The 16,187-nt window shown below is 37.8% G+C and overlaps 1 protein-coding gene across 16 annotated transcripts in view; it reads left to right on the top strand.

Annotated features, from left to right (window-relative positions):
* LRP6 (LDL receptor related protein 6) overlaps positions 1-16,187 on the top strand; it is a 151,020-nt gene that overhangs the window by 76,142 nt on the left and 58,691 nt on the right. For all 16 annotated transcript variants that reach the window (NR_182264.1, XR_002957325.2, NM_002336.3 and 13 more), the window contains 4 exons: positions 3,784-3,980; positions 6,792-6,923; positions 9,464-9,860; positions 10,922-11,093. Coding sequence is in view for 14 of the 16 variants with exons in the window: in NM_002336.3 (NP_002327.2) it covers positions 3,784-3,980; positions 6,792-6,923; positions 9,464-9,860; positions 10,922-11,093 (898 nt within the window). In the remaining 2 variants the exon portion in view is untranslated. The remainder of the gene's footprint in view (positions 1-3,783; positions 3,981-6,791; positions 6,924-9,463; positions 9,861-10,921; positions 11,094-16,187) is intronic.

Raw genomic sequence — 16,187 nt, 5'->3', positions numbered from 1 at the left:
TTGTTCTCTGTTTTCACATGGAGGATTCATGGAGATTTTTCCAAAGCTTTGCCATCACTGCTGACATTGTCTTCTTAGATATTATTACAGCTTCACTGTGGTGAAGGGAAGCTTCCTTCCAAGGTTAAGTTCAGATGTCAGAACTCATGACAGCAGTCCTGTGGTATGATTAAAGAAAGATTTATTACTCACACAAGTGGGCAGTTCTGAGAGAGGAGCAGAAGATGACTATCTGTGAGGAGGTCCAGAAACAAAAACTAAATGAGGGCATGCAGGTGTTTTATAAAGGATAAGTCCAGTTGGTGCAGAGTTTAAAAGAACCACTTGCAGAGTTCAAAGAATCTCAAAGAGCTAGCAAGAGGTGCCTGGGAGGTATTGGCAGTGGTGAGCTTTATCAGTAAGTTGCAGAATGTGACAGACATAGGCAGGAGATGATGCTCAGAGATTGCAAGCACTATATGAAAACTTCAGTGAGGTTGGGGGGAGTCTCTGTTTCTTTTCTGTGGTCCCCAGTTTGGTGATCCATTTTTTAGTTTCTGTTATCGTTGTGACCTACTATTGAGGAACTGGGCTTGGATCTTACCTGCCAGCTTGGTTCTTAGCAGCCATGATCAACTCCTCCTTGAAGTAACTTGTGTTTCCAGATGGGGATCAGGAGGTAGGCTTACTTGGTAATCTCAGCCAGAGAGAAGAAAGGGGAATACTCTGTGTGGTTATCCCTACTTTCAGGAACAAGTCATAGTTGGCTGGACAAATCATTATATCACCCTTGCATGATAGTGTTCTTAGTTCTGCCTTTTGTTCAGCTCTGTTAATTACATATTTTCTTAAAAACATTTAATTTTATCAAGCATCCCCAGAGTGTTTAGTAAGTCTGCCTAATTTGTACACCTTACCATTGTGTGGGATCCTTGGTATATAAATAAGCTAGAGTTTTACTCTCAAAAAGGTCATCTGTTATAGAGTTGCTGGATAGGTGAACAGTTATAAAACAGTTCACTAACTGTTATGAGAACGTAGAGAAAGAAAACTAACTTGGCTTGTGGCGGGAGGAAATTAAGAATGGCTATGAAAAGAAAGTGACATTTATATTTAGTGTTAAGGCCGGGCTCGGTGGCTCACGCCTGTAATCCCAGCATTTTAGGAGGCCAAGGTGGGCAGATCACCTGAGGTCAGGAGTTTGAGACCAGCCTGGTCAACATGGTGAAACCCCATCTCTACTAAAAATACAAAATTAGCCAGGCATGGTGGTGCATGCCTATAATCCCAGCTACTTGGGAGGCTGAGGCAGGAGAATTGCTTGAACCCTGGAGGCGGAGGTTGCAGTGAGCCAGGATCACACCACTGCACTCCATCCTGGGTGACAAGATCAAGACTTTGTCTCAAAAAAAAAATTAATATTAGTATAGTATTTACTGATTCTAATAAGCCATTGATTTTAAGAACTTACTGATTTTAAAAACTACCACATGAAATATTCACATTGTAAATGTTACCCTTATATCAGAAATGTTAAAATATTGAAAATATGTGTCTTAAAATTGAGGAATCATTAACGAAAGTGTTAAGTAGCAAGCGTAGTGCTGAATGGCTTTTGCGTATGTTATTTAATCTTCACATTAACGCAGTGAGGATAGATTATTACCTTCCGTTGACAGATGAAGAAATAAAGCTTGCAGAAATGGTGTCAGTAATAAGTGTCAAGGGGGGATTTAAGCTCACCTCTGAGTTCTAAGTTTATGCATTCAATTAATATATAAAATGAATATAGCTTTTAGGGATTTTGCCTTTTCCATATGTTTATTTTCCTATGTTTAGTTCAGTAGAGTGAATTTCAACTTTTCACTTAATGATATACAAAACTTTTTGAAGCCTTTTTTTTCCTTGAGTTTTTCAAAGCAGTTCTTTAAGATGGTGAAATGCCAAGTAACTTAGTTTTAACTACTCTTTATTTTTCATTTGTGTTACTTGTCTTTTTTGGCAGCTTTCTCAGTTCTCTCTCTGTTTCCACCATGAATTTTGGAAGACTTTAGTGTGAAATATACAGGCCTGTTTAAAATTGAACATAAACTGTGCCATCACCCTGTAAATAATATAGTCTCTTTAGTAAATTTAATAAAACTGTCCATTTAAAAAGTGGAAGAAAGCACTTCAGGAGAAGGTATTGTGACAGTTCTCTTTGGGAAATTAGAAGGAATAGTGAGCTTTTTACTTAGGGAAGAGAGGATTAAGGAAAATGAGAAAACTGGTGATATGGGTTGGCAGTGCAGGTATTTTGTCTGAATTTATAATGCTTTAGACTAAGATCATTCCATGTGCAATCACAGACGGTAATCCTGCTTACACGTAAAAATGACCTTAATTGCTTTTAATTTAATATGCTGGTAGTCTGTTAGATAGTAGAAATCATCAGTTAACCTCAAGGACCTGAAAATTGAATCATCTTCCTTAAAATATATGATACTTTTAATTTCTCTTCAGTAGCTTATGCTTTCCCTTCCCTTTTCCCTTCATTTTTCTTTCCCTTCCTCCCTCTCTGCCCATCTCTGCCTCCTGGGTGGGCTATTGGGAAACTTGGATTTATGAAAATATCAAAACATGTATTTTCTTGAATATTATTTTGACTCAAAACGTGATTTGTTCATTATTCCAGAGCATTTGCTTATTCTTTTTTTTTTCTTTTTTTTTTTTTTGAGATGAGTCTCGCTCTGTCGCCCAGGCTGGAGTGCAGTGGCGCGATCTCGGCTCACTGCAACCTCCGCCTCCTGGATTCAAGCAGTTCTCTGCCTCAGCCTTCCGAGTGTCTGGGATTACAGGCGCCCACCACCACGCCTGGCTAATTTTTTTGTATTTTTAGTAGAGATGGGGTTTTACCATCTTGGCCAGGCTGGTCTTGAACTCCTGACCTTGTGATCCACCCACCTCGGCCTCCCAAAGTGCTGGGATTACAGACGTGAGCCACTGCGCCCGGCCCTCAGCATTTGCTTATTCTATAACTCTCTCTAATACTCTACAAAGTTCTGTGCCTTAAGTACTAACTAGGCTGTCTACTTTTCCTTTTAAAAAGTATGTATTGCTTGTGAAAATTTTGGATCTGCTTTGTCTCATGAACATATTCTACCACTAACAGGACTTCTTTTTGGCTGCCTGAATATAGTGAAAAGTCAGCTAAGATGATCACTTGCTGGAGCTAGACTGGGGTTTGCGGGGAGAGTGCTACCTGCATGCCATTTTGGCCTCATGTTTATGTTTCATTCTCAGTTATCAAAACCATAAGAAGTGATGGACAAAACAGGCTCAGGTTCTTTGTTCTTCCACATCAAGAAGGAAAAAACCTATTGCTGATATAAATCTACTTCAGTGCCAACTGTAACCCCTGTGATTTTTCTCATTGCTTACCTTTCTCTGTCTGATGACATGAATTGTGTGAAAGGGTGGAAGCTGTGAGTCCAGAGATGGTAGTTGAAGAGTAGGATTTGACAGCAGTGCAAACAATGAAAAAGCAGTGCTCTCTCTCTGCCGGGTATCTTGTACTGAACTTGAGGCTGCTGCCAAGTTAGGGACTATTCCCAAATGCTTGTTTGGGGCTTTTGGACACCTTAAAAATATATATGAATTCATTATGTGAATTATTTTTTATAGGTGTATTTGACCTATTGGTATGTATTACTCAAGATTTGTATGTGTTAATGTGAACTAAGATCATTTTAATGGGAGAGGTGACGTTATGATAGAAGAAGAAAATTTAGAAATAAGTTTAAATTTTTCTCTTTATGTTAATAGGCAGGCAGTGGTTAAAGGTTCCCTTCCACATCCTTTTGCCTTGACGTTATTTGAGGACATATTGTACTGGACTGACTGGAGCACACACTCCATTTTGGCTTGCAACAAGTATACTGGTGAGGGTCTGCGTGAAATCCATTCTGACATCTTCTCTCCCATGGATATACATGCCTTCAGCCAACAGAGGCAGCCAAATGGTAAGTGATCCTTGATTTTTAAATTGCAAGTTGGAACAGCTTTGTAGCACTCTAATGTCTGGCTTTAGTGAGGATCAGGAGGAGGGAGGGCATATCCAAAGATAGTTGGCGGGAATAAAAAAGAGTTAAAATCCTACTTGGGAGGCTGAGGCAAGAGAATCACTTGAACTCGGGAGGCCGAGGTTGCAGTGAGCTGAGATTGCGCCACTGCACTCCAGCCTGGGAGACAGAGAAAGACTGTGTCTCAAAAAAAAAAAAAAAAAAGTTAAAATCCCAGCACTTTGGGAGACTGAAGCAGGCAGATCATATGAGGTCAGGAGTTTGAGACCAGCCTGGCCAACCTGGTGAAACCCTGTCTCTACTAAAAAATACAAAAATTAATGGGGTGTGGTAGTGTGCACCTGTAGTCCCAGCCGCTTGGGAGGCTGAGGCAGGAGTGTCACTTGAACCCGGAAGGTGGAGATTGCAGTGAGCCGAGATTGTGCCACTGCACTCCAGCCTGGGCAACAGAGCGAGACTTTGCTCAAAAAAAAGGGAAAATGTAAAAGTATAATTCAGGTTAGGCAATAGCCTAGACCATTTTGTAGCCTGTCACTACAGACCACCTCAGCCTTTTTGAGTCAGCGCTTTTAGAGGTGGAGAAGAGAGAGATAATTTAAAAATTGAGATAGCTTATATGCTAGGCTTATACACAAATGAGTTTTTTTGTTCATATTATTTCTTTCAGTATGTAGTTGAATGTGTTGATGTGAGTGTGTTTAAAAAACAAACTCTTGGGCCAGGCGCGGTGGCTCATGCCTGTAATCCCACACTTTGGGAGGCCAAGGCAGGTGGATCACTTGAGGTCAGGAGTTTGAGACCAGCCTGGCCAACATGGTGAAACCCCGTCTCTACTAAAATAACAAAAATATTAGCCAGGCGTGGTGGCGTGTGCTTATAATCCCAGCTACTTGGGAGGCTGAGGCTGGAGAATCGCTTGAACCCGGGAGGCAGAGGTTGCAGTGAGCCAAGATCACGCCATTGCACTTTCAGCCTGGGCAACAAGAAAGAAATTATGTCTCAAAAAAAAAAAAAACAAAAAACACACACACACACAAAAACGCCTCTTCTTTTTAAATGAAAACTCTGTTAATCTAGAATATATTTGAATTTAAGTACCTCAGCTTGCTAAATAAAATACCTACTTAAACTTTTCTGTGTACCCCTCCCACCTTGTTTTCCTTAGTTTTGGTTCTGTGTTTGGTCAGCCTTTACAATGACTCGGGCTATGACTGCTGAGAACTTGTAAGAGAGGACTGGAATTAGGTTTAAAAGGAATACGAGAATGTTAAGGGTTTGGCACTTTTGTGTAAATAAATGTCTGGCATCTGTCTGAGTGTATTTCAGATTTTATTACATAGCCAAAAATGAAGAGATTTTGCAACATATGTTGCTTTATATTAGCTCTCCATTTAGGGGGAGATAATCAAATATTGAAAGTGTTATGTTGGAATCTGATGATCATGAGCCCATAAAAATGTTTTTAAGTGTATGTGTTACTCTTCTGTACAAAAGAAAATGTTCAGTCACTTGTATGAATTTTTTTATTCTTCATAGCCCTCAAAAGAGAATTTTCCCTGTTTTTTGTTTGTTTTTTGAGATAGAGTCTTGCTCTGTTGTGCGTTTATGTGATCACGGCTCCCTGCAGCCTCGAACTTCCAGGCTCAAGTGATCTTTCCACCTCAGCCTCCCTAGTAGCTGGGACTACAGGCATATGCCACCACACCTGGCTAATTTTAGTATTTTTTATAGAGGTAGGGTCTCACCATGTTGGTGACCCAGGCTGGTCTCAAACTCCTGGGCTCAAGTGATCCACGCACCTAGGCCTCCCAAAGTGCTGGGATTATAGTCACGAGCCACCGTGCCTGGCCTCTTGTTTTTCTTTTTAAATGGCATTGTTGGTCCTTTATGTTTTACTAATTTGAGAATTTGCAGTTATCTTTCATGTTGGTTACTTTTATCTTTCATGTTCCATTGGTCTCCATCTTATGTTGATTTTTTTCTATGAGTATTGTTTGGACATATCCCTTTCCATAATTTCCAAAGTTTGCTAATTAGTTTTCTCTGATTTTCATTTTCCCCTTTTTTCTGCTTATCCCTTCTATGTTAATCTTCCCAAGGCATGACTTTTCAACATAATTACTTTTCTTGGCTTTCAGTGTCCTTCACTTTAATCTATTCCCATTCTTTGTATTCATTCAGCTTTAGTTCCTATTAGTCAGTAGAAACCTTAACCTCCAGTTATACTGTTCACCTTAATATCTTACCCAGTTTATAGCCCCCAAAGTTTTATTCAGATAGCTTTACCATACTTGAAATGTCCTCTTATCTATCCTTCCTATCCTTGAAGGCTCCCGTGCTGTATACTCCACAAAGCTCTTCTTCAATTCTTTAAACCTCAGCGGTTTTTTTCCCATTTGACTCTGTACTTATTGTCTATAATGTGCAAAATAGCACTTAGTTTTATTGGTTTTGTTTGTTTGTTTGTTTGTTTTTAGTTTTGCTTTTTGTTAATTTTGTTTAACTGACTAAATTGTAACCTCTTTTAGGGCAGGGATCTCCTGCTTTACTTCTTGTGTATTCCTCTTTGGTTACAAAATACTAAGTAAATTCACACTGATTAATTCCTGTCTTTGCAGATGGTTTGATAGTCAAGCACCTGCATGACATTTGGTAATAATTTTGGCTTATCACAGTTGTTCATGTTATGGTTGTTAACCTTTGTGTACTTAGTAATCATTGATATTAATCAATGTGATTTATATTTGACAGCCACAAATCCATGTGGAATTGACAATGGGGGTTGTTCCCATTTGTGTTTGATGTCTCCAGTCAAGCCTTTTTATCAGTGTGCTTGCCCCACTGGGGTCAAACTCCTGGAGAATGGAAAAACCTGCAAAGATGGTAAGAAGATATTATCCAAAATGAAAAATTTTATAACTATTGGAATTCTTCATGATTTGTTTTCTCTATAATCAGCTCTCTAGGTTATACTGCTTTGGGAGACCAGTCACTTAATTTCACAGTCTTCACACATGGTTATAGAATAGGAGTGTTTTGTTCTGTGGCATCACTTGAATGCTATTTTATAAATTATTTTAGTGTTTTAAATAACATATTTTTGAAAAAAGTTACGTGTTGTATCTTTTCTGTCAAATCTCATAGTCATTGATATCACAGTTGATAACTATGGAAATGAGTAGTCGCATAAGGAATATATTTTTAACAGGTAGCATTTGTGAATAAAGAACCTCTGTGAAAGAAAGTATGTTTATTAAACTTTTAGCTACAAAGAATATCATGAGATATATTTTATAACAAATTATTTAAGGATGTTTTAAATTGCTTTTTAACAACAGAGAGATGCTTTCAGAGCTGGGAAAAAAAATCCATATTTAAAACAACTTCTTTTTATACTTAAGAAACACACTTTGCCTGTTCTCCTTACTCTTAATTCCCTATAGAGAGAGGGCACGTTGGAGAAAGTATACTGATTTAGGACATTTTAAGGGACTTCCAGTTTGGAAGAACACCAGTTCTTCTGTTTTTCTTCTTAATGAGAATGTTATTCTTCATTCTCACCCCTATGGATCACCATCTGGTTCTCTAGCAACCAGCAAGACCTGGTAAGAAAATTGTTGTATTTAGCTGTGGCTTCTTTATCTAACTCTGAAAAGCAGAAGCCTGTGTTTTGGAGTGTGTTAGAGTCCCTGGCAAGGGGGCCAGGGAGTCAGAGAGATGGAATTGAGTCTGTGTACAGGATGTTTGTTATGACTTGGCATTGATAAATTATCCTCATAGTAAAAGGTGAAGCTGGCTGACTCTTGGTCAAATGGTTTCCATGGCAGACAGCAATTTGGTTTCAATTTAAAACAAAAGGTTTTTGTAATGTTGCTTTTTTCTTTAAAAATGTAGCCTGACTTTAAAACAGAGGATTTATTTTAGCAATAATGGTCTATCTGCTCCCTCACAGCAGTGCAAGTGTACATATTTAACCAGTTTTGAATTTCATGTGTGCATTTGGCATGTAGTAGCCTTAAGTTAACTGTTCTGTTTTGATCACCTTGCTCAAATTAACAGCTCTATGACTTCTTTGTGAAGTTCTAGGCTGGCTCCTTTTGGTTGTTAGCCGGGGCAGTGAATTGTACAAAGTTATTCCTACTTGGTTCCTGCAGTGGCATTTGGGCTGTATTTTCTTCAAGTTGGAATTCATTTATAATTAGCTCTAGAGTGAAAGGGCTGATATTGAGAGGCTTCACTCCTCTTCTCAGTTTTTTGACTTGTAATTGCAGATTGATTCTTGAAGTTTATATGCCAGTATTTTGTTTTGGACTCATTTATTTAGCTGGGAATCTTTTCTTATTCTTTCAGTTGTCAATTTGCTTACTGTCTTTTATTAGCTTCCTATAGTTAGACGATTTTTTGCTGGTGGTTTACTTGAACAATTTAAAATGAAAAAAAGATTGAGCTCAGTATCTTCATTCTTGGTTATGTGGTTAAGTATTTGGGGCTTGGGCTTTAAACAGTTCATAAATAAACCTAATTTAAAATTCAGTGAAATAAAAATCTGAAAATCTTTATTTTTTAATACTGTTGTTAAGTATTAGTTAATATTTCTTGAGTACTTAAATGTTCAGTACTTTCCTGAGTTTTAGATTTATCTCCTTTAATCCTTACAACAACCTTACAAGGTATAGATGGGGAAACTAGGCTTAGCGAGATTAGATATTTTCCCAAAGTTTGTGTAGCTTCTTGAATCAAATTATATTGGATCCACAACTCTTAACCACTGTGTTATGTTTATCTGGTTCCTTCCCTCCATTGCAGCTGTTTGTTTCTCCATAGCTTGCTTTGTCCTCAATTCTGTGAGGTATTGCCCTGTATTTCTCTTTGTTAAGACAGTTTTACTGAGATGTAACTTACATAGCATATAAAATCCATCCATTTTTTAAATTGTACAATTCGGTGACTTTTTAGTAAATTTACAGAGTTACGCAGTTATCACCACAATCCAATTTTAGAACATTCCTATCAAGCACAAAGATTCTTGTCCTAAATTTCTTTATCTTTTTTTAAAAAATGCTTCTTGAACAAAGGATCTATATCCTACATTTCCTTCTCCTTTAATACTGAGCTACTTAGCTTCTTAGTCATTACATAGTCATTATTCATTGTACTTTTAAATAGCTGGATTAATTCCAATGAAACCATAGAATGTATCACAACTTAATTTGGAGAGTTAGCCATTAAACAGCTTGACCTCAGAGTAGACTCTTCTATTTCACTGTATTACTTTCCATTTCCACTCTAAAGAGAGTGCACATCCTTTTGTGTTAATTTATGTATATTTTATATTTATTTTTCAGTTCTTGATTCTTTATCTAGAGCAGGTAAATTTTACCTCTGGGTTTCAAAGTATTCTTCATTTCACTTTGTTGTTCTAGGTGCCACAGAATTATTGCTTTTAGCTCGAAGGACAGACTTGAGACGCATTTCTTTGGATACACCAGATTTTACAGACATTGTTCTGCAGTTAGAAGACATCCGTCATGCCATTGCCATAGATTACGATCCTGTGGAAGGCTACATCTACTGGACTGATGATGAAGTGAGGGCCATACGCCGTTCATTTATAGATGGATCTGGCAGTCAGTTTGTGGTCACTGCTCAAATTGCCCATCCTGATGGTATTGCTGTGGACTGGGTTGCACGAAATCTTTATTGGACAGACACTGGCACTGATCGAATAGAAGTGACAAGGCTCAATGGGACCATGAGGAAGATCTTGATTTCAGAGGACTTAGAGGAACCCCGGGCTATTGTGTTAGATCCCATGGTTGGGTAAGAAGCTCTACTGATAGTAAATTCTGTGTGGTGTTTCTGTTTTTCACAGGTTCCTGAAAACATTGACTAAGATAACATGACATATATATTGGTTTCCAGTAAACAGCTCTTTAATGGCTGTCTATTTTAGGATATGGTGATTAGAATACAATCTCAAGTTTAAAAATTGCTAGTTTTTTGCCTTGGATGTCTTAGATATTTTTTCTTTCTAAATTAAGTCCATGTTTGCTGACTTTGGGTGTTGTCTGCAGATTTTGCTCGGATTGCATCATTACCATGAAAAATGTGGGAAGAAATTGTTTTCAGAACTCTTTCCCTTCCCCTAGAAGCTTTAATTCCATTTTCAGTACTTTATAGTAAGAATATAGCTTACTTTTTTTTCCCTAAATACATGAATGACTTGATTTCCAAAACTTTGCCAGCCCATGCAGCTTTACTTCTAGTTTGTTGTTGTTGTTTGTTTTGTTTTGCCATGCCACCCTGATCATAGTCCAGGGAAGTACAACTTTTTACATACTCAACAATTTTGTTACTTTGAGATTTATTCTGAGGACAAGCATAGTGACAAATTACACCTCAGTATATACCAATGCCTTAGAGCCATCTAAACATCCAGGAGCCGTAAGAATCACTTAGCACTGCAGGAAGAAATAGTTATTTTGAGAATTCAGTTTGCCATCTGACTAATACTGCTGGGATAAGCCTTTTGTGTCAGAGAGATGACAAGCCATCAAGGAAAAGAGAGAGAAAGTTCATGGAAAAGGGCACACAAAATATTTAAAAAAAAAAAAAAAAAAAAGAAGTAAAACTGTAATCTCATTATTGGGAGGCATTTTCAGGATTGGCTCTAGAACACACTGATCTGAAAATTTCCCACAATCTTATATATTGCTGGGATAAATGTCTTAAACACCTCTTCATATGTTTTTTTTTTTTTCCCCTTCCTTGGCATTAACTGATGATACCAGTGTAATAGGAGGGATGGATCTCACCTTTAGAATATCTGAAAGTTACATTTTATTATCTATTTTTAGCTCATTTTTTGTATACTTCTCTAGGTACATGTATTGGACTGACTGGGGAGAAATTCCGAAAATTGAGCGAGCAGCTCTGGATGGTTCTGACCGTGTAGTATTGGTTAACACTTCTCTTGGTTGGCCAAATGGTTTAGCCTTGGATTATGATGAAGGCAAAATATACTGGGGAGATGCCAAAACAGACAAGATTGAGGTTTGTTTTTTGCTTTTTCATTTTCAAGCCACTTTTATAATGGGTTTTGAGTCGACAGTATAATGATTTGAGTACAGATATTCTTTTTTCTTAACAGTTGTCTGGGGTGCCAAAGGTACCTTTTACAGAAATTTTACTCAACCTTCATGATTCTAGGGATAATATATTCTCTTCCACATAATCCTAGGATGGAGAGATGTATTGGTATGAGAAATGGCTGCTGATCAGTTTCTAGTCTTAAAAGCTTATGTAAGTGATTTTCCTCATTTTGGGTAAAGCCACTTTCTGAATTTCCTAGGGGCAATTTCTGCAAACCAAAATTATGTAAGATCTATACTGGAAGAACTGGCTGTCCTAAGTTAGGAAAACAAAGCCCACATGTATGTGTATATCTATATCTATATCTATATCTATATCTATATCTATATCTATATCTATATCTATATCTTTTATTGCTGTTAACTGGTGTTGGGGCAGATGGTAGAATATATTAAATATTATGATGGTTACATGCAAACAATTTTAAAATTGATTTATGGGCTGTGTGGGAACAAGACTAATTAACCAAAGCTTGGGAAAAAATATTTACCAAGTGGTAGAGTTAAGTTTGTGGCAATCAAATAGATTATGGTGAAAATAATCAGTGATTAATATTTTATCACAGTGTTTTATTAGTGGCCTATATCCCTGATATTGGTGTTAAGTCTAAAATTAACAACTTTGAATTAGACTTTGCTACAGGTCTTATGGATCACATAGATAGAACAGAGTTAGGTCTCAATTTTCCTTTGGGGGAAACTTCACATACAAGGATGGCTTTAAATGGCTCTTCAGAGAGACACTGTACACATCTAATGGACAGAAAATTCAGACTCTAGAACAGTTGTTTTGGAAAGGTATTCTGTAGAGTGCCCATGACCCTGAGGGAATAATGACTTCAAGGCCTTGCTTCCAAAATGGAAACTTGGAATAGAAGAAACCCCGTTAGTATTCCACCAGGCTCAAATACTGAAAACGGCATCTGTTGTTCTTGCAGCTGGTTTTCATTAATAGAAAATTTTGCATAGACTCCATAAATTTTCTCCCTGTTAGTATTTCACTGCCTCCCACTCTTTTCAAATCCAAGTTGATGTTTGAATCTTTTAACAGTTGGAGTGCATTGCTGATGAGACAAAGGTTATGAGTTTATGTTTCAGACAGGCTTTTAGCTTCATTTTGGTCAGCTTGAATATAGATTGCCTACCTAATCCCATCTAGTTCACACCTGTGGATTATGAACTATACATGAGTGTATAGGTACGAGTATGCTTAGGAAAACAGTTTAAAGCCCATAAGTTTTAGAAGAATATCTGTAGCAAGAAAATTTACGTAAGGGAATGCACCAAATTTATTATCATGTAGGGTTTTTAAAATTCCGTATTTGGTTTTGCCCATCTTAGTCTGCTATAACTGACTGATTAGCCTGAAAATAAAATCATTTGTTTCTTACTGGGAATATTTCAAGTCTTATTTTCCTCACTTTAGGTATAATACTTTAGATACAGAAATTTATTCAGAATAACAAATAGTTCAGAAGGGATTCAGATAAAGACATTACAATTTATGGAGGTTCTGAGTGACCATCTTTAAGAATAAAAATTAATACACTTTATATAACAATATATAACATTGATTAAATAGGATTTATTTTCCTAGTTTGCAGTGAGTGCAGTAGATTTTAAAATTAGAATTCCTTTTCTGGCCTCTTTGTTATGTTTTCTTGAGCTATGCATATATATATATATACATACAGACACATACATACAGTGGTGTCATTGGCTCCGTCACCCCTTCTTTCCTTCTTCCCTGTATGGTACCAGCATCCTTAAACCTGTTTTTAATTTTTTTCATTCATTCGTTCATTCGTTCATTTGTTCCTTCATTCATTCGTTCTTTTAATCTGCAAAGGCTCTGTCACCCATAAATCTTATTTTTAGATCCATCTTTCTCCTTCTAGGTTTGCTGGAACACAACTGCTGTTTGTTTTTTGTCCCCTTTTTATAGATTGATGTTTGTGGTAAATTTACTTCTGTATACATGAAGACCTCCCTTTATAATTTCCCCTGGAGATTCTGATGTCCTAATTCACTATTAGGACATCAGAGCCTTTGTCATTTTATTTACATAGGCACGTCTAGGAAATACAGCATATAGTTATTTATTCTCTTCTTATGTTGATGTAAAATCTGATACTTGGCAAACTAAAGAAAGAGTGCAGCTCTTCGTCTAAATTAGTCCTGCATAACTCGGGGAGAAAATCTGGGGTTTTCCATCCTGAGACTAGTAGTGATTCTAGGAGCAACTGCTACTACCAGCTTTTCATCTCCCTTGATTTGATAATACTGTGAACTTGAAAACTTTTACAAAGATGTATAATTTTAAAAATCCCTCTTTTTCCAAGAAGTGTATTTGCTAGCCTTTTGTTAGTGGCAACTGATTCCAGATACTGATCTAACCCCAGTCTGGGTGACATTCTCCCTTCTAGTCCCATTTTCCTTAGAAAGCTCCCTAGCTTTTGTCATGCCCGAGAATGAAAGCTGCTTTTCGCTGGGACTATAACAGAGTATCAGATTATGGTTGTGATAACCCTGTTCTCTTCTGAAAGACTTAAGAGTCTGTTTGGTTGGCCGGGCGCGGTGGCTCACACCTGTAATCCCAGTACTTTGGGAGGCCGAGGTGGGTGGATCATGAGGTCAGGAGTTCGAGACCAGCCTGGCCAACATGGTGAAACCCTGTCTGTAGTAAAAATACAAAAATTAGCTGGGCGTGGTGGCGGGCACCTGTAATCCTAGCTACTCGGGAGGCTGAGGCAGGAGAATCACTTGAACCCGGCAGGCAGACGTTGCAGTGAGCCGAGATGATGCCATTGCATTCCAGCCTGGGGGACAAGAACAAGACTCTGTCTAAAAAAAAAAAAAAAAAAAAAAGTTTGGGCTCACACTGTTGTATATGTGTTTATAGTACATTTGGAAAGAAAAGATAATTATTTGGTAAATTATTTATATAGCAAGGTAAGACATAGTAAACCTATGTGTCTTGAGTGGATCACATGGGAAAGTCTCACTGTGTTCATTCATTTATGCTACCTGCTCGCTTAGTGGAAATTCTTTAGATCAGCTTCTCACTTCCTCTTTTGTAAGTGGTGATGTGACCAGATGCTGGCTACATTAGGGAAACCAGGGAGAAGGAATGGGGAATTCTGGGTATTAGATGTGTTTTTATATTGTACAGAGTTGTAGAAAGAATGAATAGATTTAACCTCAGGTTTATAATAAGCTTCGGGAAGGAGGGATTGAGCGTAGGGCATTGCTAATGATGTCACATTTTTTAAAAGATGGTTGTGGTATTTGGCTCCTGCTTTAATAGAATAACATATATGTGAGGGTATGTCTGTTTTCCCTACTTGTCAGGTGATAGTGGCCACCTATCTGTAGGTGTTAAAATTTAAAAGGTGCCTGCTAGTACTTGTTTATGTCTCTTCTTCATTATGCTGAAATGACTTCATTGCCTTTTGTGGACAAACCTAGTTTACTTGTCTGCACAGTACTTCTGCCACCACCCCCCCTCCTGATTTTTACTATATTGTTGTGGGGCCTTCCCATAATAAGTACTAAAGCATTAGCAGAAAGAATAATTTTCATGTTTTTGATAGAGGAAAGATCAAAAGCCTTTATTTCTATTTTATATGACCCTGCAGTAGGCAGAACAACCTTGTTTCTTAACAGCATTCCTTTTTTTTTTTTTAGGATCAGGTTTTACTGCTGAAAACGTTTGTTGCACTGAGGGCCTGTAGTACTTCTTACTAATAGCCAAGATATATCGTTGATAATTTATAGGTTTAAAGCATTTTTGCCATGGTGTAAAATTAAGAATGTACTATTAGCTTAAATTTTCTTGAGGTTGCTTTTCTTGTTATATACCCATTTAACTGATTGACAAAATCAGTGTGTTTCTAATAGTTGGTTTTATTGAAAACAATAGTATTGTCAATGCTAAATTTCTCTCACAGTTTCTTTTTTCTTTTTCTATTTATTTATTTATTTTATTTTATTTTATTTTATTTTATTTTATTTTTTATTTGAGACGGAGTCTCGCTCTGTCGTCCAGGCTGGAGTGCAGTGGCGCGATCTCGGCTCACTGCATGCAAGCTCCACCTCCTGGGTTCACGCAATTTTCCTGCCTCAGCCTCCTGAGTAGCTGGGACTACAGGCGTCTGCTACCACGCTTGGCTAATTTTTTGTATTTTTAGTAGAGACGGGGTTTCACTGTGTTAGCCAGGCTGGTCTCGATCTCCTGACCTGGAGCTGCGTGCCTCAGCTTCCCAAAGCCCTGGGATTACAGGCATGAGCTACTGTGCCCGGCCTTTTTTATTTTTATTTTTTGAGACAGGGTCTCACTCTGTCGCCCAGGCTGGAGTGCAGTGGCGTGATCTCGGCTCACAGCAACCTCTGCCTCCCAAGCTCAAGTGATACCCCTGCCCCAGCCTCCCGAGTAGCTGGGATTACAGGCGCATGCCACCACGCCTAGCTAAGTTTTGTATTTTTAGTAGAGATGGGATTTCTCCATGTTGGCCAGGCTGGCCTCGAACTCCTGACCTCAAATGATCCACCCACCTCGGCCTGCCAAAGTGTTGGGATTATAGGTTTGAGCCACCATGCCCGACCTGTTTTTTCATTATATACTTTTTATTTTGGTTTCTCCTGCCCACTTTCATTTCTGAGTTTCTACTGACAATGCAGCAACACCTGATAGTATAGATAAAAAGAGAGATTTTCATGTCTACTGTAAGAACATGTGTATTTGCTTTAAATCTTAGAGTAAGCTTCCCTACTTTAAGAGGATACAATGTCCATAGCTAGTTTTGTACAAATCTAATTTTACCTGGCACACCTTTGTTGGGAAACAGAAACAAGGTTTATTAGAACCTTTAGTACCAAGAACTTTTGAATAAAGAAGGTATTATTTTGTATGATGTGTACTGAAAACTTGGCATTTGCTGAATGTTCTGTTTCATATTCTAAGCCTGAAATTGCAGGGCTACATTTTCCTATGATA

This window comes from Homo sapiens, chromosome 12 (genome assembly GCF_000001405.40).
Source record: "Homo sapiens chromosome 12, GRCh38.p14 Primary Assembly".
Taxonomy (NCBI): Eukaryota; Metazoa; Chordata; class Mammalia; order Primates; family Hominidae; genus Homo; species Homo sapiens.
This window is presented reverse-complemented; position numbering and strand designations above follow the sequence as displayed.